This window comes from Homo sapiens, chromosome 16, assembly GCF_000001405.40.
Source record: "Homo sapiens chromosome 16, GRCh38.p14 Primary Assembly".
NCBI lineage: Eukaryota > Metazoa > Chordata > Mammalia > Primates > Hominidae > Homo > Homo sapiens.
The window spans coordinates 75,903,460-75,930,523 of record NC_000016.10 but is presented as its reverse complement, the minus strand read 5'-3'; the positions used below and the strand labels follow the sequence as shown (position 1 = coordinate 75,930,523).

General features: G+C 39.0%; 1 long non-coding RNA gene across 1 annotated transcript in view, besides 2 other annotated features; it reads right to left on the bottom strand.

Annotated features, from left to right (window-relative positions):
• Positions 2,234-2,956: an enhancer, noted in NCBI's record as "OCT4-NANOG hESC enhancer chr16:75961466-75962188 (GRCh37/hg19 assembly coordinates)". NCBI's record gives its function as "activates a minimal SCP1, AML or CMV promoter by ChIP-STARR-seq in naive H9 embryonic stem cells {active_cell/tissue: H9 hESC(naive)}" and the evidence as "EXISTENCE:reporter gene assay evidence [ECO:0000049][PMID:30033119]".
• Positions 8,723-9,300: an enhancer, noted in NCBI's record as "OCT4-NANOG hESC enhancer chr16:75955122-75955699 (GRCh37/hg19 assembly coordinates)". NCBI's record gives its function as "activates a minimal SCP1, AML or CMV promoter by ChIP-STARR-seq in primed H9 embryonic stem cells {active_cell/tissue: H9 hESC(primed)}" and the evidence as "EXISTENCE:reporter gene assay evidence [ECO:0000049][PMID:30033119]".
• LOC105371348 (uncharacterized) overlaps positions 15,852-27,064 on the bottom strand; it is a 154,623-nt gene continuing 143,410 nt past the window's right edge. Inside the window, exons 4-6 of the long non-coding RNA XR_933748.4 lie at positions 25,382-25,423; positions 17,014-17,097; positions 15,852-16,074 (exon numbers count right to left, since the gene is read on the bottom strand). This is a non-coding gene — a long non-coding RNA (uncharacterized LOC105371348). The remainder of the gene's footprint in view (positions 16,075-17,013; positions 17,098-25,381; positions 25,424-27,064) is intronic.

Here is a 27,064-nt window from a genome sequence, read left to right as displayed (position 1 = left end):
GAAGCACCTGTCATTCTCCCTGTGTTACGTGCTCTGGAGAAGGCAGGGAAAAACAAGTGAGCCCTTCTGGTTGTCTGGGGATGTGATGTCCATCTTTTATCACTTCACTTCTAGCCCCGTCCTGGGAACATACAGGGCAGTGTAACAAATCAAAGACCACTTCTATCACCCCAGGATCTGATCATCATGTATGGAAATGGGCTTCAGGTCTTTCTTAAGCTGCACCTTAACACACATGTAAGATATTTAAACTCTCTCAGCATCTAATTGTATATACGAAATGTGAGCAGGTTTTTTGTATATCTGTTATACCTCAAGAAAGCTGTAAAAAATAAACTCAGCATCAAGTGTCTCACAAATAGAGTGGGCTTGATAATAATAATACTTAACTCACTGCTGGCAAAGGTAATAGGTGTGAACTTTGTTTGAAAAATGTGGACCACATCACATTGAGATGTAAGGGGGTAGAGCTTTCACAGGGCTTTGGGTTTGAAGGCGACACAATGATTGTATTACCCATTTGCAAACAGTATTATGACAATGAAGACTTTTGATAATACTATTAACAGATTTGACTATTGCAGGTTCTTAGATTTCAGAGGCAGTTCCTTTCCATTTATGAGAAGACATTCAATATGAGGATTGTAGAAGTAAATGCAAAGAGATAAAGGGGAGAAATTTGATCTGCTCTAGATTTGGTCAAAGTTTTTGGTATGGTAAGATAGTTTACTTTATGCCTTTTTTTTTTTTTTTTTTTGAGACAGAGTCTTGCTCTGTTGCCCAGGCTGGAGTGCAGTGGCACGATCTCAGCTCACTGCAAGCTCCGCCTCCCAGGTTCACGCCATTCTCCTGCCTCAGCCTCCCTAGTAGCTGGGACTACAGGCACCCGCCACCATGCCTGGCTAATTTTTTGTACTTTTTTAGCAGAGATGGGGTTTCACTGTGTTAGCCAGGATGGTACTTTATGCTTTATGTACAGTAGTCCCCCCTTATCGGCAGGGGATATGTTCCAAGACCCTCAGTGGATGCCTGAAACCAAGCCCTATATGTGCTATGTTTTTCCAGTATATACATACATACATACCTATGATAGGGTTTAATTTCTAAATTAGGCATAGTAAGAGATTAACAACAATAATTAATAACAAAATAGAACAATTAAGGAAAATAAAGGTTACTTGAACACAAGTACTGCAGTGCCATGCTGGTTGATCTGATAACTGAGAGGTCTCCTAAGTGACTAATGGGTGGGTTGAGAATTCCACATGGATACTCTGGGCAAGAGATGATTCACATCCCAGTAAGATGGAGCAGGACAGTGTGAAATTTCAGCACCCTGCCCTACCCAGAACAGATGCAATTTAAAATTTATGAATTGTTTATTTCTAGAACTTTCCACGTAATATTTTCAGACCATGATTGACTGCTGGTAGCCAAAACCATGGAAAGTAAAACCTTGGATAAGGGAAGGACTGCTATAATTGGAAACTACTGAAGGATTTTAAGACAGGAGTTTTCTATTCTCTATCTTTTTTCCTAAGACAGAAATATTTTTATTTGTCATGATTCTGTGTCACACCTATTCTTTCTGCATCTCGCAGCAACAACATTTTAGAGTTAAATTAACTAAGTTTAAATTGTATTTCATATTGACAAAAGTTTGATATTGCTATTTCTTGAGGTTTGTACATTTACCTAACTATTGTAATACCTCTCTAAAAATCATTTTGTAAGGTTACATTGAAGTACGTTTATTTTGCAATCTGCTTTTCAACATGTAATATTATAGGGAAAAGTGTAGAGACACCCATTCACCATGCTACCTGAGGAAGTATTTCATGTCCTCCAGCTTCAAATAAGTTAAACTCTGAAATGTAAACTGAAGTAGATTCAGGCACTGAAGATATTAATATCTAAGTGTTGATTCACAGATGCAAGTACATGCTTCTGTAGAGAGATCATTGTTAGATGTTGTCGGTTTTTAGATTAGTCCCTCTTCTCCAGGAGGTTACAATCTATTAGAGAGTGGTGATGATGTAACCAGGGTGGAAACACAAGTGGATCCCAGAGGCTGTTAAATTTTGCTGAATCACAAGTGGGTCCCAGAGGCTATTAAATTTTGCTGCAAATGAATCCCAGTATATCTTTGTTCTTTTGCATATAGATGTCAATGCAAAAATTGCACAGGATAAAATCAAGTAAGCAAGGAAGTCTTTATTCAAAGCTATTGCAATGGGAGAGAGGCCAGAACTAAAATCTGAATTTAACTCCCCTGAAACAAAGAGTAGGAGAGTTTTTCAGAGTTGAAGTGTAGGGGGATCACAGGCCATCGGTATTTGTTCACTGGTCTTAGCCAAAGGAAAAGTGAATTTTCTCTAATATTCATGATAGGAGGTAGTTTTACAACTTGGAGCAAAGTGGCCAGGGAAGTTAGACTCCTACCCTCTCACAGAAACTGGAGATAGGGGTGCTAGCTCCCTTGATGTTTACATTTCAAAGCGACGGCTCCTGGGTCCTTGCAGAATGTATTCCTGGGTTATAGAAGCAGGCTTTTAAAGAGATTTACATGTTAAAGAGGCAGAGAACAAACTTGCCCGACTGCAAGTTTTCTAAAGAAAATCCTCTAAAAAAAGGGAAGTCAGTGCCTCAAGAAGAAGCCTGTGTAATGTTTAATCAAGCTGAGGAAAACCTTTAGGACCTCTTGGTCATACTCATGCTTGAAAGTTTTTCATAAACCATGTTATAGTCACATTTTATGTTAATTCAATAATACAATACTAACAATACCACCACTCAGTAGAACTTAACAGTTTGCAAAGCATTTTCCTCTAGGCCATTTCTTTATGTCTTCACAGCTGCCCACTGAATAATACAGGCTGAGTATTCCTTATCCAAAATGTTTGGGACCAGAAGTATTTCAGATTTCAAATTATTTTGGATTTCAGAATATTTGCATTTTACTGGTTGAGTATCCTGATCCAAAACTCCAAAATGCTTCAATGAGCATTTCCTTTGAGTGTCATATTAGCACTCAGAAAGTTTCAGATTTTGGAGCACTTTGGATTTTGAGTTTTTGGATTAGAGATGCTCAACCTATATATAATTATTATATTGAACATATATATGAAAAACGTGATTCTGAGAAATGTTGAATGAATTAACAGAATCACGTAGCTGGTAAATCGTAGAGGATGTGTTTTCAGGTCACCTTACTCCTATGCCCTTTCCAACCTGCGCTTTTTTTTTTTTTTTTTTTTTTTTTTTTTTTGAGGCAGAGTCTTGCTTTGTCACCTAGGCTGGAGTGCAGTGGCGTGATCTTGGCTCAGTGCAGCCTCAGCCTCCTGGGTTCAAGCAATTCTCTGCCTCAGCCTCCTGAGTAGCTGGGATTACAGACACCCATCATCGTGCCCAGCTAATTTTTTTGTATTTTTAGTAGAGACGGGGTTTCACCACCTTGGCCAGGCTGGTCTTGAACTCCTGACCTTGTGATCCACCAGCCTCGGTTTCCCAAAGTACTGGGATTACAGGCGTGAGCCACCATGCCCAGCCTCCAACCCGCACTTTTTATTTAAGGGAAATAGGTGGTAGATTATTCTGAAACAATGGGAAAAAATTGCTCTATCATTGTGTTTTGTGAATCTAGATTTCTATATTTTGTTTGTTTGTTTGTTAGTTTTCTTTTTTTGAGATGGAGTTTTGCTCTTGTTGTCCAGGCTGGAGGGCAATGGTGTGATCTCAGCACATCGCAACCTCTGCCTCCTGGGTTCAAGCGATTCTCCTGCCTCAGCCTCCTGAGTAGCTGGGATTACAGGCATGCGCCACCATGCCCAGCTTATATTTTGGTTTTTTTAATTTTATTAACGTAGTAGATAAGCAATATAGATAACTTTGGAAGATAATAAGCAGAGAGATAGGAATGTCAATTCCCTGTAAGATATGAGCCTAATGAACCAGTTACCTTAGAAAAGGTAACTCATAATAACCAATTTTTATTTATTATAAATATCTAATAGCTCAATTATTTCTTCTCATGCTTACTAAAAATATTTCCTAGAGTTTTTGAAGTTTCTAGGGCAAAAATCTCCTATAGCATATGCCCTACAATTTAGCACACATAAAGGAATGTGGGGATTTTTAATTCAGATGTGAGTTTTAATTTCATGAGCTACTTAACAGTTTCCAAATGGAATTTCTCTACAGCCAGAATCAAAGACAAAGATTTTCTTCGCCATTATTTCTAGTTAACTTGAAAATAATTTGAATGAAAGAGAGAAGGGCTTGTCTAAACACTAATGCCTGGAACCACTTGAAATATTTTCACCAGCTTTCCAAGTGTTCCCTGGTTCACCTGCAGACAGCCCAAGGTCATTCCCTGCGCAGAACTGTCACGGCCTGAACTGCTCTCTTCCTTTTTATGTGCTGAGCATCTTCTCACTGGAGATTTTCTACCATTTCTCCTTCATCATTCTTCTTTCTTAAAATTTATTGCAGTTTTGATTTCCTGCCATGGTAATGGGTTATCTTTTATGACTGTGCAGATGGGCGCTTTCATTTGGGGAAACTCTACACCATTCCTGTCGGCCTCTGGATAGCAGCTTAGAAGCTCTATTCATCGAGTTTCTTAGCTGTGTCACTAGTTTAGAACACCTTGTCATCTATTTTACAGGGTCTGAAGATATTTTCCATTCGTAACCAGTACAGGTTTGGAATGTTACTGAGTTAAACAGCTCAGCAAGTTTTACAACTGGGCACAGAAGAGGATGGCATCTATAATTATAGACTATAATTATAAGGTTCTTGAAAAGGTGGGATGAGACAGCTTCAGTACACAATGTTGTCATATTCTGGCATCAGAACATATTTGGTGCTTGACCTGGATGGAGTTGGAGACCGTTATTCTAAGTGAAGTAACTCAGAAATGGAAAACCAAACATCATATGCTCTCATTTATAAGTGGGAGCTAAGCTATGAGGAAGCAAAGGCATAAGAATGATACAATGAACTTTGAACTTGGAGAGGAAAGGTGGGAAGGGGGTTGAGGGATAAAAGACTACACATTGGGTACAGTGTACACTGCTCGGGTGACAGGTGCATGGAAATCTCAGAAATCACCACAAAGGAACTCATCCCCAAAACTACTGATATAAAATAAAATTTGGTGCCGGAAGTTATTCTCTAGTGACTCTAGTCACAGTGGTTCTCAACTACGAGTGATTTTTTTTCCATGGTAATGGTAAGTGGTAAATATAAATGGTAAATAGCTCCAAAGATATTTGGCCATGTCTTGAGACATTTTGGGTGGCCACTGGATGGGACACAGTGCTGGCATCTAGTGGGTAAAGACCAGGGAGGCTGCAAAACATCCTCCTATGCACAAACAAACCCTCCATGACGGAGAATTATCTAGTCTAAAATGTCAATAGTTCCAAGGTTGAGAAACCTCAAAGATCAGCTATATTTCCATACCAGTATTTTATTACAATATTATAAATAGTACTCTTCATAGCACTTTTCAATATCTGATATTGTGTTCAGCTGTTCTTGCATTTCTATAAAGAAATACCTGAGACTGGATCATTTATAAGAAAAGAGGTTTCATTGGCTCAGAGGTCTGCAGGCTGTGCAGGAAGCATAGTGGCATCTGCTTCTGGGGAGGCCTCAGGAAGCTTTTACTCATGGTGGAAGGCAAATGGGAAATAGGTACTTCACATGGCAAAAGCAGGAGCAAGAGCGAGAACTCTGTGAACACAGAGCGAGATCTCACTCATCACCAAGGGGATGGCCCAAGCCATGCATGAGGGATCTGTCCCCATGATCAAAACACCTCCCACCAAGCCCCACCTTCAACATTGGAGATTACAATTCAACACTAGATTTGGGCAGGGACAAATATCCAAACTATGTAAGAGATTTTTCTTGTTTATTTTTCTTTGTATTTTTCCCCACTTTGCCTGAATTAGTCACTTCCATTTTTTCATCACACTGAACTGTGTGCTCAATAAGAATTGTTTTAACGTTATTAGTTCCACTACTGTTGTTTTAAATAGGAAATAGGAATATTTCTATTTTAAATAGGAAAGAAACTGAAGTCAAAAGTGGGCCAAAAGGTTACAGTACAACATGGTGGCAAGTCATACTGAGATCGTGGTGTCTTAATATAAAAGTCAGTGTCTCATTCTTGCTGGTGTTTTGAATCACTTTAGGAAGGGCAATTTGGAACACTGGTTTGTTTTTAAACATCCAAGTGAACAAGCCATCTTTTCTTCTGTATTCCCCATGTTTCAAGAGACCATTATATTTCTTGACAATATTTTCCTAATAGCATTAAATTAGATGCCTGGTATAAAAGAACTATACCCAATTCTCCAGTTTAGTTCTCAGGAACATAATATGTCCTGTGGTCGTAGAAAAAAATAACCATGCAAATTAAGACTTCAAAACAATCATCGAGTATGTAAATGTTTATTCTCATATACCATTGGTAATTTGCTCTAAGAAATTTGTAGACAAGGTTTATGCATCTCATCATTCTTTTTGTCTTTTTTCATTTTAATCAGGCATCCTCTCTGCTAATGAACCTCAGTTTAACCTTGAATTTTGGTGACACCTACTAGATGGTGAATTTTTCCTGGAATCTTACTAAAGTTTATCTTGATTGAAATTCTTAGAAAAGGCTTTTTTTTTTTCTTTCCATGTGATATATGTAATTAGAAGGGTTAGTAGCCAGTAATGGACCATCTCTTCTTGAATCAGACAGTAAGGTACAGTTTAACATCTTCACTGTGGAACGAGCCAGTAGGATACAACTTTCTAAAAACTGAGCAGAAGCACCATGGGATCCAACCACCATTTTGGATAAAACTTCCTGTTTTAATTTACACATATATTTCATATTGCATTTGCTTAATGTTTTGTGACTTACAAAGCATTTTTATTCTTAATCTGTATGACACCTCTTTCAGGTACATAGGGAAATATATTCCTAATCCAGCGTACTTCTGTATCATGCAAAGTTATCTCTGAATGGCCCCCAATCAAAATGTCAGCTTTTGTAAGGCTGGCAGAACATTTTATACTTCTTTGCATCATATCAATGCCTTTAACAGGAAAAAGTAAATGTGTTTTTGTTGATTTATCCATTGTAAAAATTTAATACAGGAGAACTCAAACTACCTAGACAGCATGCCAGATTTGGCAAACTCTTTTAGGATTAAGCAAATTCTAAATTTTAAGGACCTCAATTAATCAATTCTCAATATATGTTTAAAGATGTAAAATCCAGAGAGTTGATATTATTAAATATAAGTCTCTCCATGCCTGGTTAAAATTCAACTTTGTTTCAATTCTTGAATTTGGTCTGTTCCTTATAATGTCAAGAGTAAAATTATAGAGAAAGCTCCCTGTTATTTACAAACATAAGGAAAAGCAAGAATTGGCTGCCATCTAGTCTCTCCAGGAATTGCTTTATTATGTCTTTTTAAAATTTTATAAGAACATATAAATGTATAAAGAGATAGTCAATCTGGAAACAACAAGCAAAGAACCAATGCTGTTAGTTTTTCTATTATCAACTAGTGTTTTTTAATAGAAACAATTTTTAACTACTTAAAATATTTTGCCACATTTGAGAGACAGCACAGTGTCAAAGGCCATTGTGTTGGAGTAAAATGACATGGATCTTAGCCCTGTTTGGTATATTAAGCATTTGTCTCTGTCTCAGGGATTCATGACAATTATACTTCTTCACATGATATTTATAAAAATCAAATGAGATAATCTATATGATTGTACTTTATCAACTGTAAGAGTATTTTAAAATGTTAGCTATTATTACTTGGAAATTTGGAGAAATTGTAAAAAAAAATGCTTTTCATAGATTTTTCCAGTTACTACTGTTGTGTAATAAATTACTCTAAAATTTAGTGGTGTAAACCAACCACTATTTTATTTATCCGCACTTCTGTGGTTCAGGAATTTGGAAATAGCCTCACTAGGCAGCTCTCGTTTGGGATCTCTCATGCAGTTGCAATCAGATGCTGGTTGTGGCTTGCAGTCATCTAAAAGCTTGACTGGATGAGCTGTACAAGATGTGATTATTCACATGACTGGGAGTTAAGCTGGTAATAAGCTAGAACCGTGGCTAGGGCTACAGGTAAGAATTTCTTCTTGTACATTCTCCAGTATAGGGATCTCAGGGTAGTCATTTATTAGATGAAGGCTAAATTCCTCTAGAGTGAGGATCCCAAGAGAACCAGATAGAAACTGCATCTTCTTTCCTCCCTTAGCCTTTGAAGTCACTCAACACCACTTCCCCTGCATCCTAACTGGTTACAAGCAAGTCACTAATATCCAAGGGGTGAAAGGAGAGACTCCCATCTTTTGATGGGAGGGCTATCAATGATATCGCAGACATATTTTAAAACCACCTCTTGTCATTAAGAAATTCACGGTAGACAGAGAAATAAAAGAGGGTATGTTTTGGAAACTGAGTTAGACCACATATTGACCAACTATAGTAGGAATATTTTTCTGTTTTTATTGATATTCTGTACCAACATCACTATTTTGGTGGTTTGGTGATAGTTGGGGGACATTCCAAATTTTTGCCAAGATCCATCGGACTCTACATGGAAATTCCCTATTCTATTATTTGAGAGGTGACCTTTCCCTAAGTATATTTTTTCCCACCCAACAGGATTCACAATATCTTCCTGTAGACTTACATGTTTTTAATGTATTTGAACTTTGATGGCTTTTCATCGTCAGGAATTCCCTAATCCATAGTCAAATATTCCTAACCTTTTAAGAGTTTAATAAGCTAGTGACTTGATTCTATTATTAGCATGTAACCCTTTCAGAGGCCAATTATCCCAGTAGATGATTAGGTGTTATCTCAGGCAGCCCAGGTGGGGATTTTCCCAGTCTGTTTTGTGGCAGTCCCCCAGGTACCTCACAATCACATCTTCTCCATCTGGCACGCCTATGAGCTGACTTCCAGGTGCAGCTTGCTCTTCCAGAGAAGGATTAGCTTATTTGCATCCATATGTGCTTTGTCATGTAGAAGGACTGGCAGGGAAAATTGCTAGTGATACGATTTCCTGCCCCCAGGTGAAGCCAAACCTCTCACTGTGAAGTCCAGTGGGCATCTTTTGAGTAGGGAGCCTGCCAGACAGAAAGCTCTTCTGCTGCAATGTTCCCAGCAAAAAAACAAAAGCATGTCTTTCCTGTAAGAGCCTCAAATTTTCCAGAATTGCATTAAGGAAGTTGATGGAACTGATAGTCCTTGGAAGAAAATATGTCGATATGTATGTTTCATGGAAGACCCAAGAGAATACAGGGAGTATGTCTTCTAGTGAAATGAGATCTGGGAAGTAATGTTTTTGTGGTTGCTGCTGCTGCTGTTGTTGTTGTTGTTGTTTGTTGTTGTTTTAAATCCAGATCGGCGCGATCTTGGCTTACTGCAACCACCACTTCCTGGGTTCAAGCGATTCTCATGCCTCAGCCTCCCAAGTAGCTGGGATTACAGACATCCACCACCACGCCCGGCTAATTTTTGTATTTTAGTACAGAGGGGGTTTCACCATGTTGGCCAGGCTAGTCTCAAACTCCTGACCTCAGCTGATCTGCCTGCCTCGGCCTCCCAAAGTGCTGGGATTACAGGTGTGAGCCACTGTGCCTGGCCGCTAAATCCAGATCCTTTAGTCAGCCCCTTGTTAGAGCTTTCCTGACTCTTCAGAGCCCCTTCTCCTGGCATCCATGGTGTCGGCTCTCATGGCATTTCTGAAAACACATATCTACTACCAAAAACTGGCTGGGCAAACTTCCACAATGTCTGGCAAAGACTAAGAATGCTGATGCTGTCACAAAACATTGTATAGTGTTGGTATACGAATGGTATACAACTATACCATTGTATAGTTGGTTGGTGCAGTGGTTGGTTTGTATAACGTTACCTTATGTTGATTATCAAAAATGATCATAATGATCACTCTCCAACATTACTTACTAGCTATGGTAAAAAAGTCAGTTAATGTGGCAGGAAGGGTTGGGGGTTTGGACATTAACACAGTATCTGATTTGATTTCAAATTCCCATCCTTCCTGGCTGTGAAACAAGTCATGCTACATCTCTAAGCCTTGATGTCCTCAAATATAAACTGAAGATTATATTAAATGATTGATGGAATCATGTCAACATTCAGTGATGTGGTCTATGTGAGGTACAGAGCCCCGTGGTCAAATGGATGCAGGTCAATCAGCCAATCACATGATCACATGATTCCTGATTGTGTCAGAGGATGAAGTATGTTTGGAAATGACCACAATTATCTAACTTAGTAGAAACATTAATTGTCACCATAGTTGTTTGAGTTAAATAAAATTTACAGTTTCACATTTTAAACATCATAGCAGTTGATCTGAGAATAATTTTTATTCCTTACTCAATTGGTTGAAATTTAGTAAAGAGAATGGAAATCACACTAGGTATTTCAAGCTGAGTAGGAATTAAATAGGGAATTAAAGGTTTTCAAAATGAATGAAGGGGTCAAAGGAGAAAATATCTCTAGTAAGTTCAGGAATTTTAAGGCACCTCTGCCAGCAAATCCGTTTGCCTACATTCCTGAAGCTGACGATACGCGGGAGAACATTCTGAAATCCTGGCAAATTGTCAGGTCTGCCATTTGCTAAAACCCTCACTCTGTCCACTATTGCTACATGAGAATTATTGGCTCTGTTTCTTTTCCACTTTCCACGTCTCTGTGGAATGCCCCTCACTTAGATCCAAAGGACAAATAAATTGATAAGCATTCTTTGGAAAAACATGTATATGTGAATTGGTATCAGTTTAAAAACAAGTTTGCAGACTTGGACATGCTGTATTATAGATATTTTGCTAAAAATTAGAGTCCTCCTTTGCACCACAAGTTTCCTTCTTCAGAAAAATTCAATAGGGAAAGAGCAGACTGAATTTTTTTAACATAGGTAGACACATTGATTTTTTTATTACATATTCTTCAAATTATTGCTTTGTAGTTAACAGAGAGCTGCTACCAAAAGCTTTGCTCTGAGTGGGGTGGCTGAGGAAACACAGCACTCTCACAAAGCAGTATTCTGCTGGCCTTTCTGAAGGATAGATTCTCGGAATCTATAGCTCCTGGGCTTTGCTTTCACTGAAATAATTGTTAGATAATCAGCCTTGAGCTAACAACTCAAATCCAGCAGGCATATGAGAACTGCATCTCAATCCATGTTGATAGTTTGATAAACTGACAATACGGTGCCTTTTAATTTATGAGACAGTGAGAGCAATTCATTAAACAAAATTCTACTGGCCAGATGCAGTGGCTCACACCTGTAATCTCAGCACTTCGGAAGGCCGAGGTGGGCAGATCACCTAATGTCAAGAGTTTGAGACCATCCTGGCCAACAAGGCGAAACCCCGTCTCTACTAAAAATACAAAAATTAGCTGGGCGTGGTGGCAGGCACCTGTAATCCCAGCTTCTCAGGAGGCTGAGGCAGGAGAATCGCTTGAACCCAGGAGATGGAGGTTGCAGTGAGCTGAGATTGCCCCACTGCACTCCAGCCTGGGCGACAAGAACAAAACTTTGCCTCAAAAATGAAAAAATTCTACCACTTTAGGTCATTTTCCTCTTAGGAAGCACTCTGTATATGAGGAACTGGGGTAGGGGACAAGGCATAGAATCTATAGATACTCTCATTTTGACTTTGATGAATAAGATTTTCTTATTTAACTTGTGCTAACCTCTCAGGGTTAGAAAGATAAGTCCTTTAAAAACAGAAATGCTTTGTGAAAAAATCTGTACCCATGTAGGATGAAGCCACCTTCTTTTTCAAGCAGCCCATCGTGTTTATTAAGGCATTCCACTATGCTCCTCCTTCTGTCTGCTCTTTAAATATAATGTACAATCCGTTATGTTCTCCCAGATTCTCTAAGGAGACTGTCCCTTTCCCCGTTTCCTTATGCTCTTTCTGTATATCTATAATGAATTAACTGTCTCCTTGGATTGTCCTTGAAGGGCAAAAAGAAACTTAAGGAAACATGCCTTTGTCACTGGGAAATTGTAGTCCAATGTAATCTGGCTAGAAGTAATGATTGTAAATGAAGTTCTGAGCCACTGAAAAAATGTGGAACCATTTCAGATATTTGTCTTTGTGTTAAGACATCTGAACCAGTCTTTAAAGCCCTATTAATCAGCACTTCTTTCCATCCCAGCCCTGACTGTTGACCCCGAGCTGGCAGTGGAAGCTAAGTCCTTATGTGAAAGTGATTTAATGTTACTTTTGCATGGATAAAGGCACAGAATTGTGGATAAAGACAGAAATGGAAATCTGAAAGCTCCCACAAAGGAGAAGTTAAAATTGCTAAAAATTTTTAGTGGTAGATAATATTGCATGTGTATCTATTTCCAGTCCTGTATAAAATACAGGCAACAGAAGCTCTATAAAGAGTAGACATTATGCATATATATCATTTATATGTCCTTTATATGTATTTATTGCACATAATATATATCTTCTTTATATAAAATTATCCATAGACTCACATTACTAAAGAAAATAAATCTGAAAAAATAGTATTATTCACTTTGGCTTTTCTTTGAGTTTTTTGAGGCATTTGCCATATATTTAATATAAATTTTCTGTATGACAGGTTCAGATTTGGGGCTCATGGGAACTCCAGAAAGTCACATTTATCAAAGGGTATCCATTGGCCTTCAGCCAAAAGAAGTGACCTAAAGCATCAGCTAATGGGACAGTTGTGATGTGCATAAGGTGTTTGAATGCATGCCAGCAAGAGTGCTGTGGGGGAAGAAAGAGAGAGAAAAGGAACAGCTTTTATTCTCTCCCCAATCTTGCTTCACAGTATTGTGTTTTTCACCTTCATTCAACTCTCCTAAACTTGTGTACATATTTACTTTTCCTACTGGATTATAATATCCTTGAGGGCAGAGTTAGTTTATCTTTTTTTTTTCGTGAAAGCACTTTGCAAATGCTCCCTGTATAAATTTCAGCCAATAACTCAGGAGCAGAAAGTGACTTTATTATTTGTCATACTTAAGCTGAATGATGAGTATGCTTCGTAAATCACCATGGTTAGAGGAAAATTCAGAGAATTCGATTACCATGGTACTGTCAGAAACCTGATGTAGTGGGTGTTGAATGATGGCCTGCAAAAAGGTTCGTGTCCAAATTCCCAGAACCTTCTGAATGTGACTCTATTTGGAAAAGGGTCTTTGCAGATGTAATTAAATGAAGGACTGTTAGATGAAGAGGTCATCCTGGACTATCTGGTTGGGCCCTAAATCCAATGATGTTCCCTTATAAGAGATGCGTAAGGGAGATTTATTTGACAGAGAGAAGAGAAAGAGGCAATATGATCAAGGAGACAGAGATTGGAGTAATGCAGCCATAAGCCAGAGTCCACCAAGGACAGCCAGCAGCTACCAGGAGCCAGGAGAAGGTATGCAGCGGATTCTTCCGTGGAGCTTCTGGAGGAAGCATGGTCCTTGATTTTGGACATCTGGGCTCTAGACTATACAAGAACAAACTTCTATGAAATCACCAAGTTTGTGTGTTTGTAACGGCAGTCCTCGGAACTAATACATCTTAGTTCCGGAGAAGTCTCCCTAGAGACCACCCACCCTGCATCTGTAGAATCTGGGAGGGGAAATGGAGCTGTGGGCTTCCTGGTATTTCCCTCTCGAATCCTTCTTCACCAACACCGCATTAGAGGACCGCTCCTCCGCACAGGTTCTGGGGATAGGGAAACGTATCTTCATTGAAACCAAGACTTTAGCTGCTGCACTATCCAGAGAACAGCTCAGCCTGAGAGTTGAGGATCAGGGAGGGGAGGTACTCTCTCTCATAACCTCCTGCTCTTTGAACTATCTGCTAGAACTCTGAATTTATTGTCTTTGGGAATTTTATCCCTGTAGGGAGACAAGGTACTCTTACACAACAGAAACTATTTCAAAATAACATCAGAACAAATTTATGACATTGCAATAGAGGCGGAAGGTATAGTGAAAGAAATATGTGTATGAAACCAGATGTTTCTTGGAGAAAGTAAGCCTTTAGCTGGACTACGAAAGAAAATAGAGGATTTGAATAAGCGGCAGTTGGAAAAATATACATTTTAAATGGCAGCACAGGAGGAAGGATAAGCAGGAGGAATAGAAACTAGTATTGCTTGAAGGGAAGAGCAAGAGAACCATGCTGAATGGTAATTAGGGTGTTCAGTTGCCATCAAAAGAATTTGGATTTATTATTCTGGGGATCCATTGTAGTTTGGTGAGCAAGGTAACAAGGCTATAAGCTTTCAAGGAGTTATCACCAGCAGGGTGGACAGCATTGTAGATCCCCTGCCACATTCAAGGCCCCCTCCTCAGCAAATGTTTCCTGACTTGTTTAGGCAAGAAGGAGGACCCCTCATCTCAGTGTTCCCTGTGTGTTACTCTACCCTACAACGGAATATCTCTCTATGTGATCTGGATTCCTCCTAAGTCCAAAAGGCCCTCAAGACAGCCGGGTGCGGTGGCTCATGCCTGTAATCCCAGCACTTTGGGAGGCCGAGGCAGGCGGATCGCCTGAGGTCAGGAGTTCAAGACCAGCCTGGCCAACATGGTGAAACACCGTCTCTACTAAAATTCCAAAAAGATTAGCTGGGTCTGGTGGCGGGTGCCTGTAATCCCAGCTACTAGGGAGGCTGAGGCAGGAGAATCGCTTGAACCTGGAAGGCAGAGATTGCAGTGAGCCGAGATCGCGCCACTGCATTCCAGCCTGGGCAACAAGAGTGAAAGTCCACCAAAAAAAAAAAAAAAAAAGGCCCTCAAGAGAAATGTGTGTCAAGTACAGACAAGTACAGAGCACAGGGTGGGCCTGACTTCTAGCAGGTACTCCAGCACCCCTTCTATTGAACGAATCAAATTTTACGGGTGACTCCTATAGAAGATTAAAGACCTGCACTCCAGCCCCACCAGCTATTGTCTCCTCTCATCCAGGAGCTGTACAAAAGGGTACTTTAATAATTTTCACACTTGGGCACACTATGACAATGGTTTTTAACTCACTTGGCTCTCCTAAGGGGAAGCATATCTTCCTTGAGTCAATGTAAGGTTGAGGAAATGCATAGATAAAGAGCAGAGAATTGCCCATGTTTGGTGAGGACCTGACTATATTTTTTGACTTGGAAAGTGCTGAGCCTGTGTTTTTGTCTACTTTCTTCTAGGTGAGGGATGGAAGGAAACTTCCTTGAACCAAAGATTTACAGGAAGGGTTGATAGGAAACATGCTAATTGCAGTAATCTCTGGGAGACGTGGATGAGAGGTCCCTCTTACAGGGGGATGTGCGGGAGTGGGGGTGGGGAAGGGAGGAGAGCAAACCTGTCACCTTGTGTGCAATCTTTGCCTTGTAAGCTACTAGCCACAGATGAATGGAGAAGACATTTGTTATCATGGACACATAAAGCATAATTGCTACCTTTAAGGTAGTGGATGAGAGAAAGGAAGTGCATTTAAGCATCTATGCTCTAAGTTGTATTCCCTTGCTTTTATGTATCTTAGCAGTTTGCAGGTACCATCTCCGCAACCTGGAGAGCTAGTTTTATTTTTTTCCTCTCTTGCCATGGTTACCTCTTCATTCTTATTAATAATTCAAATGCATTGCCTAACAACTGGTTCTCAAATATCAGGATGTATTCAATCCTCTAGAAAAACAGAGAATAGTTGAAAGCTGAGAAAATTTGATGCCAGCAACACCACATTTCACCCATGTCACTGCCCATGCTGGTCATTGATATCTGAGCCTTTCCGCCTTCCTAGTTGGAAACTTTAGGGCATATAAATATTTATTTTAGAGCTGGGTTTAACCCATCCCTATACAGAGTGATTTGAAAAGCAATCTGTCTGAACACATGAGAACTGTGTCTTATCCTGAAAAATCTTGTCCTTATAATAGTCCTGTATCATCTTCTCACTGGAGGCAATCCAGGCTTGATTCTCAGTGTGACAGAAATGGCTGTACACTTTTCTGCCCGTTGCCTTTGTCTTGTCCTGGAATGAGAATTAAAAGACCATTGGTGTAAAGCGTCTGTTTGCCTTTTAAAAGATAAACAGGTTTTATTTATATGTCTCACAGAATCACACATGCAAAATGGTTCTGCAAAATACAAATATCCATATAATGCAGGTAGTAATGTACATTAAGGATAGTACAAATATTGCTACTATAAGCATTCTAATAGCTGTCTTTTAGTGAATATGCATAAACGTTTCAGTTGGTTATATACCTGCAATAAAATTGCTGGGCTAAAGGGGGTGCATATGTTTAGCTTAGTAGAAACAAGAAACCACCCAGATGTCTATCAATAGCTGCATAAGTAAATATTCATGCAGTGGAATATTCTCAGATAGGGAGGATATTTTGTTGTAGAACAGCAAAAATAAATCTACCAAACATAGCACTGAGTAAATAAAAGCCAGGTAAAAATATACATTAAATAAATTTTTTTAAGCCAGGTAAACTAATTTATAATTGTAGAAGTCAGGGAAGTGCTTAACTTGAGGTGATGGTAACTAGGAGAAGGCAACTAGTGAACAGGAGAAGGGGTGGCTGGTAAAGTCTCGATCTTGATCTGAGTTGGGGTGACAGGGGGATATGTTCAGTCGTGAAAAATCATCAGCCAACACAGAGGGCAAAAAGCAAGATAATTTAACTAAATTGTCTTTTAATCAGAGTAATTGCTTAAGAATATTCCCAGATCGGGAGTGAGATTTTTTTCATGCTAAAGTGAAAAGTGTTCATGTCTACCAAAAAATTCCAAGGTGTTTAAGTTAAAACAACACTATCTGACAAGTTTTAGAGAGACAAATAACATGCTTTCACAAAAGATAGAAGAAAACAATAATTCAAAGTAATCTTGTTAAGACAATAGATAATGCACACTTCCAGTTTGTAATGACAATTAGGTTTATAGTGTATATGATACTTACGGATGTAATAAATATTTGCTATGGAAGGTAAAGTGCATCAAATCGAAGTGAGTGAGATATCAACTTTGTTTTCATCTTAAGAATCTGAGGAAAGGATAATTAGCAATTAGACTTGAAGGTATGGGAGAAAGACGATAAAATCAAAATAAGCAAACAATAAAATAAATGATAGTAGAACATTTTCTAAAACAACTTGCATGTATTGTTTTCTGGAGAGGCAAAGCAAAACAAAGCATAATCCAGAGCACCTTCATAGAATATACATTCAAATTTTAAAACTTTAAAGACCAGGTGCAAGGCCAAGAACATTTACAAAATGTGGCTTAATAAATGTTATTTATTTTTACTTATACTTATTTAATTTTTTTTTTTTAGACAGAGTCTCACTCTGCCTCCCAGGATGGAGTGCAGTGGTACGATCTCAGTTCACTGCCACCTCAGCCTCCCAAGTTCAAGTGATTCTTGTCCCTCAGCCACCCGAGTAGCTAGGACTACAGGCATGTGCCACCACCCTGGCTAATATTTTTTTTTTTTTTTTTTGAGACAGAGTCTCGCTGTGTCGGCCAGGATGGAGTGTAGTGGCACGATCTCAGCTCACTGCAACCTCCGCCTCCTGGGCTCAAGCAATTCTCCTGCCTCAGCCTCCCGAGTAACTGGGATTACAGGTATGTGCCACCACGACCGGCTAATTTTTGTATTTTTAGCAGAGAAAGGGTTTCACCATGTTGGCCAGGCTGGTCTTGAACTCCTGACCTCAGGCAATCCGCCCACCTTGGCCTCCCAAAGTGCTGGGATTACAGGTGTAAGCCACTGCATCCGGCCTAATTTTTGGTATTTTTAGTAGAGATGGGGTTTCACCATGTTGGCCGGGCTGGTCTTGAACTCCTGACCTCAAGTGATCCGCCCACCTCTGCCTCCCAAAGTGCTGCGATTACAGGCATAAGCCTCAAAGCCCAGCCAATAAATGTTGTTTTAAAACCAAGCAATTCTGAAATTAAGCAGAGATTTTTAAGAAGATCCTTTGAGAATTCTCTTTACATCTCTCACTACAGTAGTCCCCCTTACCCTCAGGGAATACATTCCAAAACCCCCAGTAGATGCCTGAAACCCTGGATAGTACTGAACTCTAAATATATTTCTTTTTTTCCTATACATACATACCTATGATAAAGTTTAATTTATAAATTAGGCACAGTAACAGACTAACAATGACTAAAAATAAAATAGAACAATTATACAATATACCATGCTAAAAGTTATGGAATGTGGTCTGTCTCTCTCAAAATAACTAATTGTACTGTACTCACCCTTCTTGTGATCTGTAAATCTGATAACCTAATAACAGAGATGGCCACTAAGTGACTAACAGGCAAATGGTGTATGCAGCACAGATACGCTGGAAACAGAACGGGACAGTGCAAGATTTCATCACACTACTCAGAAGGATGTGCAATCAGAAACTTAGGAATTGTTTATTTCGGAAATTTTCCATTTAGTATTTTCAGACCACAGTTGATGGCAGATAACAAACTATTACAGAAAGCAAACTGTGGATAAGGGGAAGATCCCTGTAACACCTAAGTCTGATCCTTTTTTTTCTGTTTTCTACATCTCAGCAGATCCTTAAAATTCTAATTACATTATGAAAAAAAAAAAAACAAAATAAATGGAGGCTTTTCCTGTTTCTTTCTACTCCAAGATTTAGAGCCAGCTACTTTTGAAGGTGCCTAGATTTCTTTTGTGTGTGTGTGTGTGTGTGTGTGTGTGTGTGTGTGTGTGTGTGTGTGTGTGTGTATTTTAGATGGAGTTTTGCTCTTGTTGCCCAGGCTGGAGTGCAATGGTACGATCTCGGCTCACCACAACCTCCGCCTCTTGGGTTCAAGCGATTCTCCTGCCTCAGCCTCCTGAGTAGCTGAGAATACAGGCATGAGTCACCACGCCCAGCTAATTTTTTGTATTTTTAGTAGAGACAGGGTTTCTCCATGTTGGTCAGGCTGCTCTCGAACTCCCAACCTCAGGTGATCCACCCGCCTCGGCCTCCCAAACTGCTGGGATTACAGGCGTGAGCCACCAAGCCCAGCCGAAGGTGCCTAGATTTCTTTCACTAAAGGAGAACAAAAAGGTCATTGGTGCCAGCTACATCCCTGAGATTGTTTCACTTGAATAGTACTTGGAATGAGGGTCACAACAGGGGTAGCTTGACCTTTTTAAAATCATGGGGTCAGGCTTGCGTTTTCTCACTTTAACTCCAATTATACTAACCCTTCTCTTACCTGTTCTAGTATCAGTTTTAAAAATCAATCTCAGCTGGGCATGGTGACTCACACCTGTAATTCCAGCACTTTGGGAGGCCGAGGCAGGCAGATCACTTGAGGTCAGGAGTTCAAGACCAGCCTGGCCAACATGGTGAAATTCCCTCTCTACTAAAAATACAAAAATTAGCCAGGCATGCGTGGCGGCGCATGCTTGTAATCCCAGCTACACGGGAGGCTGAGGCAGAAGAATCACTTGAACCCAGGAGGTAGAGGCTGCAATGAGCCAAGATCGTGCCACTGTACTCCAGCCTGGGTGACAGAGCGAGACTCCATCTCAAATATAGATAGATAGATAGATAGATAGATAGATAGATAGATAGATAGATATAGATATACTCACACACACACACATACACACACACACACACATATATATATCTTTCCCAGTTTGAGCAACCTTTCCTTTTCTAATCCCATCCTAGAAACAATGATGTTCTGGGCCATATGTTATCATACCAAATATGTATTTAAAACATGTTGGCCAAAGTGTTAGGAAGTATAATTTCTGATTTTTTAATATGTAACTGCTATATGCTTTCTTTTTTGTCCTTCAACTCAAGATGGATGACTTTTGCACCAGGTTTTGAATGCTTGTCCTTGTCTGCATGAGTATAGCACCAAAATGCTAAAAAGAAAATACATTTTATTCTTGCCCCAAAGGAAACATTGAGAATTTAAGGGTATACATCACTATTACAGTATTGCAAATAGAGTCTGCATATACTTACTGCTCATGATAAAAGAAAAAATAAAGCTAAATTTGAATATCCTGACAAGATCAGTAAGGACATTTATTTTATTAAAATACAAAGTTATATTAAGAAATGTATACATAGAAAATACACATTACCAAAATCTCTGTACTGTTACACAATGAGACATATCTGGTTTGATGGATTTGCTTTGAAGAAATAAAACTTATTCAAATAGAATTAGACATGACTCAATCTACATCTTGAAGATGCAGACATGAAAAATAGGTCGGGAATGTGTGGCCCTGGAAGTCTTAAGACCCCAAAAGGAGGGAGGAGATAGGGTGAAGTTTAGAAAGGATTTTGTGTCAATGATAATGGCTGGAGTCATATTGACAAGCCATGACTCTGTTATCCAGTTATCAGAAAATGTGTTCAGCCAGAGAACTTATATATGTCTCAGACATGGTGCCAGCCTGCTGTTTCTTTTGCAGGTGAGGTTTTTAACCACAACAACTAAGACAGGATATCCTAAAGTACATTGACTCACCCAGTTCCTTTCGGCCAGGACTGTCACATGAGGGCTAAAGATGAACCCTGAGCAGGATGGAGATCACTCTCCAGGAAGCTTTTCTGCATCAGCTTGGGTTGCTACATGTTGTGGCAGGTGGCTGCACAGACTACTCTGTTTGCGCCTTACCCACCACCATCAAGAGCTAGGCCCACCTCAAAAGGGTGAGATAATTGTAAGGGGGTGAATAATCAAAAGGATATCAGCAAAAAGAAAAAACAAATTAAAAACAAGTAAAAATCTTCTTTCCAGAAATAGATACCTGAAATATGTATATGCTTAGGAACTACTTTATTTCCTGCCTTCTCTGATGAGTAATTAAAGATATAAAGCTTGTAGGTATTAGAAAACCATGTCACTCAAGATAGTCCTTTGTGCCCTAAGAAAAAAAAAAAGTAATGCCCAATCAGAAAGTAATAAATTCAAAATACCACCGGCCCTGCAATGAGAGTTAACCGTATGCATAAATCCAAAGCGAAGTTTCAGAGTCCCCTGGCTGTCTTCACCAAGAATCAAGCCTTTTTTGAGAACTTAGCATGATAATTCACTCTTTGCTGATTTAATTCTCTTACCGCCTTTTTGAAATGGAAAACGAGAAGACCCAATTGAGTTCTCAAGGAGTGTTCTCAACTGATCTTCTCAGTGCCTGTCTCTGACAGTTTGATTCTTCCTAGACACAGAGCCAATTCAAGGTTAGATACACAGGCTGTTTACTGGGGGAAATGCCTGTGACAGATAAAAAGGAATGGAGTAGAAGAAAGTTGAGAGAGCCTCAGACAGTGAGGCAGGATGATAGCTGTGGAAGAAAAGAGGGAAGGAAGAATTCCACATTCCACATTCCACAGCCCACTTTTGCAAAAACTTCAACCAGGCCAATGAAGTGTCCCTGATCAAAAGCTGCTTGTTAAAGGACTTCTGAGTTAGGCAAAAATGGACCTATAGTAATAGCCCCCACCATGCTCAGTCATTGACTGAAAGCAGCCCAGGAGAAGCATGGTCTCAGCATGAATGCAAGGGAGGAACCCAAGTGGTGGCAGCTGGTGCTGTCAGTCAACGGTGCTATCAGCAGCGGGTTCTCTTGATGGAGATCTTAGCAGTGCATTTCCATTGCTCCTACATCATCTCAGACATATGCCACAGTGTCGTGGGGATTCTGGATCAAATCGTGTTGTATGCTGAGAAATCTCAAACATGACAAGATGTTAATGAAAATTTTGTAAAATATGTTAACTGAACCTCTGCTTTCTGAAACAGTCTATGCAAAACATAATTTAGCATTCGCTAGATTATTCATTGTCTTTGTTTGTGAGATGAATTATTAGACCCGTAGGTAACACAGTAATGTCCTCAGGGACTACTGACGCGTATCAGACCTTCTGCTAAATGGTGTAAGTCTAATAACTCTGCTCGTCGCATTTTTGTCATTTTGTAGTTTCATAATCCACCCCTCCCCAACTACCAGATGACCATCTGTTACTGCTTTCCACTATTAAGTGTTCCTACCTCTACAACTCCCATCTGTTTAGGGTTAATTTTTTTTCTTATGGAAAATATAATTGCACCAAAAAGCAGAAAAAAAACAATACAAATGAATGGATTCCCACATAACCATGAAACAGCTTTTGCGATCTTCTTTCATTTGTACTCCACCCACATACCCCTCCACTAAAATATTTAGAAGAAAATACCCAGACATCATATTAATGATCTTAAATATTTCAGTATGTATTTTTTCAATATTACATCATTTTTTAAAATAAAACCACAGTATCATTGTTTTAGTCTGTTTTATGCTGCTATAACAGAATATCTGAGACTGGGTAATTTATAATGAACAGAAATGTATTGGCTCATGGTTCTGGAGGCTGGGAAGTTCAAGATTGAGGGGCCAGCATCTGGCAAAGGCCTTCTTGCTGTGTCATCCCATGGTGGAAGGTGGAAGAGCAAGAGGGCATGCACAAAAGAGAGGGCGAGAGAGGGCCAAATTCACTTTTATAACAAACCCATTGTCACAGTCAAGAGAGGGTGAGAGAGGGCCAAACTCACTTTTATAACAAACCCATTCTCACAGTCATGAGAGAGACAATAACAACATTAATCCATTCACAAGGGCAGAGCCCTCAAAACCTAATCACCACTCAGAGGTCCCACCTCTCAACACTGTTGCATTGGGGATTAAGTCTCCAACACGCGAACTTTGGGGAACACATTCAAACCATAGGAATCACTATCAAAACATCTCTACAAAATTATTTATCACCAAATATCCAAGCAATATTGATATTTCTCCAATTGGTTCTTAAATTTTACATTTGCCTTTTCAACAAAAAGCTGGATCAGATTCATATATTGCAGTTAATTGACATGTCTCTTAGGTCTCTTTTAATCCATGTTTCTCTTCAACCCCTTTCTGTCTTGTTTTGTTGGTAATTTATTTGTTGAATATTTCTGATCATTTGTCCTACAGGGTTTCCATCTCATGGATTTTGCTGATTTTACTCTGTGAATTCATTTTAATATGCTATTCATTATTCTTTATTTCTTATAAAATGGTTGTTAGATCTTCATCTTTGAACAAATTCTCTAGTAGATTCTTCAGGATTGGTTCATTAAAAAAAGTTCCCAAAAATTTCAAAAGTTCCTAAGTTTGACAATAGGTTTTATACTTGAATGACAGTTTGGCCAAGTATAATGCACTTTTCTCTGTTTTTTTTCTTTAAGCATCTTAATTATGTTACTCCATTGTCTTCTGTCACAAAATTTTGCTATTAAAAAGTCTAATGTCAAACTTATTATGGTTCCTTAATATGTGACTTGGTGTTGTTGCCTGGATGCTCAAAGGTTTTTCTTTATCAATAAAGGCTAATGGTTTTACTATAATATATCTCAGAGTTGAGCATTCTGGTCAATTTTCCCATGTCTGTGATGTGTCTTTTCAATATATACGTCCACATATACTTTTTTTTTTTTTTTTTTTTTGAGATGGAGTGTCACTCTGTTGCCCAGGCTGGAGTGCAGTGGCACGATCTCGGCTCACTGCAATCTCCACCTCCAGGGTTCAAGCAATTCTCCTGCCTCAGCCTCCCGAGTAGCTGGGACTACAAGCGCGTGCCACTACGTCCGGCTAATTTTTTGTATCTTTAGTAGAGACAGGGTTTCACCATGTAGCCAGGATGGTCTCGATCTCCTGAACTTGTGATCCGCCAGCCTCGGTCTCCCAAAGTTCTGGGATTACAGGCATGAGCCCCTGCGCCCGGCGGTCCACATATACTTTTATTTCAAAAAACTTTCCTCCAATTATTTTTTCATTATTTGTTCCGTTGTATTGTGTCTATTTTCTCTCAAACTTCAGGAATATTGAAACTTCTCTGCCTATTTTATATCCAAGCACTTCTTGAGATGATGCTTAAACTGGTTCTTGGAACATGGCAAGGAAGCAGGATAAAAGTAAGAAAAGTGAGAGCCTTCTAGGGAGATCCAACTACATGTACAAAACAGAAGAGCTTAATATGAGTAACAATAGCTATTGAATGAAGTTTGATCTATGGCAAGGCTAAAAGATGTGGAAGAGAAATCAAACTGGCGAGTGACAGGATCCTGTTTGCTGTCAGATTACACTTTGATGTCAGATAAGTAGGTTTTGAGTTTTCTCAGAAAACTAATAAGGATTTTAAGGTGTAAATAAATATTTTAGCAACATCACATTGGTGTCAGTGAAGAGAATGTCTCAGAAACAAGTACATGAATTTTAAAATAGGCAACAAAAAATATAAATACCTGTTTTGTGACTGGAAATTATAAGCAATTTGTATGAGTTTTATCATTTATCCCTCACAACACATGTTTAACAGTTTTTATTGTTCCCATCTTCCAGATTAAGCACACACACTGAGTCATAGCACATTAAAGCAAATTATTCATGAAACATCAAAAAAGTGGTTGCCTGGGCTCAGAAGCCAATAGCAACTAACACTAAGTCCCACATTTGTTTCATGAACTATGGTTAACACTGGAATCAGCCATACAAAAAATGAAAATAATACAAAGATTTGTGGACGAAGTAAATTGATATCTAGAAAGAATGTGGATATGGAATGAACTGGACTGTATAAGATTGAGGGAGAGGGAGAGAAAGGCATGCACAATGATTCCAAGGTTTCAGGTGAATAGCCCAGGGCAAAATTGTCTTGTAATAGGTTGTCAAGAAAATAGGAGGTGAAAATGAAGACAACAAATATAGACCGTTTTGCAAAGAAACTTGACAGGGGAAAAAGAGGGCAAAGATGGTGGGTAAGTATATATTGGATGGAAGATGTTTTGTTCTAAATAAGAGAGACAACCTGAGTTGTCCACTAAGTGCTTGTAGAGAGGTTGGAATTGGGAAATCACAAAGGTGGAGAAGGGGGTAAGGCTGTGGGGGAGCTGATAGCAGATGGTGGAGAAGAAGAAAAGAGGATCTAGAACACAAGCAAAGCAATTAGTATCACACACAAGCAGAAAACAATATTCTCTTCTACAGAGAGTATAAGAAAATATGTTGATCTCCTAAAAAGCACCAGACATCCTAGTAAGCTCTTAAAAGCACACACACACTACTCCATTAATCCTTACGACACAATGTCTCTGCTGATGTTATTCTCCACATTTTATGAATCAGCGTGCCTAGTAATTACCAGAGTCAGGCTTCAAACTCACTCTGTTCTGATTATTTCTAGTGTTAGTTTTTGGGAAGGAATCATGACACAGGGAGACACCTGAGTTCAAGCTCCAAAACTCACATTCACTCTTACCTTGGACAACGGAATCACATCTGAAAAACCCCAATTTCTCATCTGCAAAAGAAGTAAACAAGAATTAGGGTTTCTTCCTGTCCCAATAAACTTTTATTTTTTTTTGAGACAGTCTCACCCTGTTGCCCAGGCTGAAGTACAGTGGCATGATCTTAGCTCACTGCAACCTCTACCTTCCAGGTTCAAGTGATTCTCGTGCCTCAGCCTCCCAAGTAGCTACGATTACAGGCGCGCACCACCACACCCAGCTAATTTTTATATTTTTAGTAGGGATGGGGTTTCACCAGGTTGGCCAGGCTGGTCTCGAACTCCTGACCTCAAGTGATCCGCCTGCCTCACCCTCCCAAAGTGCTGGGATTACAGGCATGAGCCACCTCACCTGGCCCCAACAAACTCTTATATGAACAGACCATATGTTTTGCTCATGAAAAATATATTCTGATAATGTGTTCATTCATAAGTTATAATTTGCTTTTGTTTTAGATGAAAATGACTCCATGTCTATGAATTCAGTTTACCATTATCATTACCACCACTAAATCTTAGGAATTATTTTGATAAAATATTAGAAGTTACGTTAAACATGATAGTAGAATTGAGTCATTTTTATTTATTATTCAAAACTTGAATAGTATAATTTCTAAAGAGTTACTTTATTTTCCCAGGCAATTTTATCACTAAAAGCTACTAAAATATATTTTTACCTGTGAAAATATTATTTTATTAAAATTTTCAGTTAACCTTTCAGAAGTATTGTGTGTGCACGCATGCATAACGTAACACTAATTCAGATTTCACCCAAAAATATCCCTCCAGGGTGTGTTTGTATGAGATTTTACCAAAATTAAAATAAGCATTCTTTATTAGTGAAACCAAGAAGAATATGTTTCCTGACTATCCTAAAACTTCTTAAAAAAAAAAAAAAACCTAAACTTTGCATGTAACAGAAAGCAGAAACCTCTGCAGACTAGCATCACCTAAAGCAAACCTTAAAAGATGAGGATAGTGCAGCAAACGAGTAATGAACCATACAGAACTTGCTTTGAGAGGCACCCAGTTTGAAAAGAGCATTGTCAAACTGACAGAGCATTTGTCTCAGTAAATATTCTTCTTCATTCCTAAACCATTCAAGCATAAGAAGGTGAACACAGACAGCAATCTAAAAGTCTCTAATGAATATTTGTAACACACAAGCTGAAAAATTCTTGATCTACCTGCCCTTTGTGAAAAATAACAAAAGCTGGAGAAATGGGTTTAAAAATGAGGGAGAGGCTTCCACTTCCAGCGATGATAGGCCACTCTGCAGCAAAATGGACCCTTCTCCAAGAAAATTTTTAAAAGATGAATAAAATATAGAAAATATCATGTTCATGATACCAGAGACCTACCAAGGCAGCCAGGACTCAAGGAGCCAATTTGTTGGAGAGACATGAGGCCCAGAAAAGTGAATTCAATATTCTGGGCCATTTTCTCCTCAGACATTTGATGATTTATAAGATGCACAGAGCAAATAGATTTTTTTAATATCCAGAATAAAGAAGGAACATGCCCCAACTTGTTTAATGAGGCCAGACTAACTTTCGTATGAGAATCAAAAAAAAGGACATTGCAACAATAGTGACATTACAGACTAATATCCATCATGAATATAGTTGCAAAATTGATTGCAATAATTGTATAACT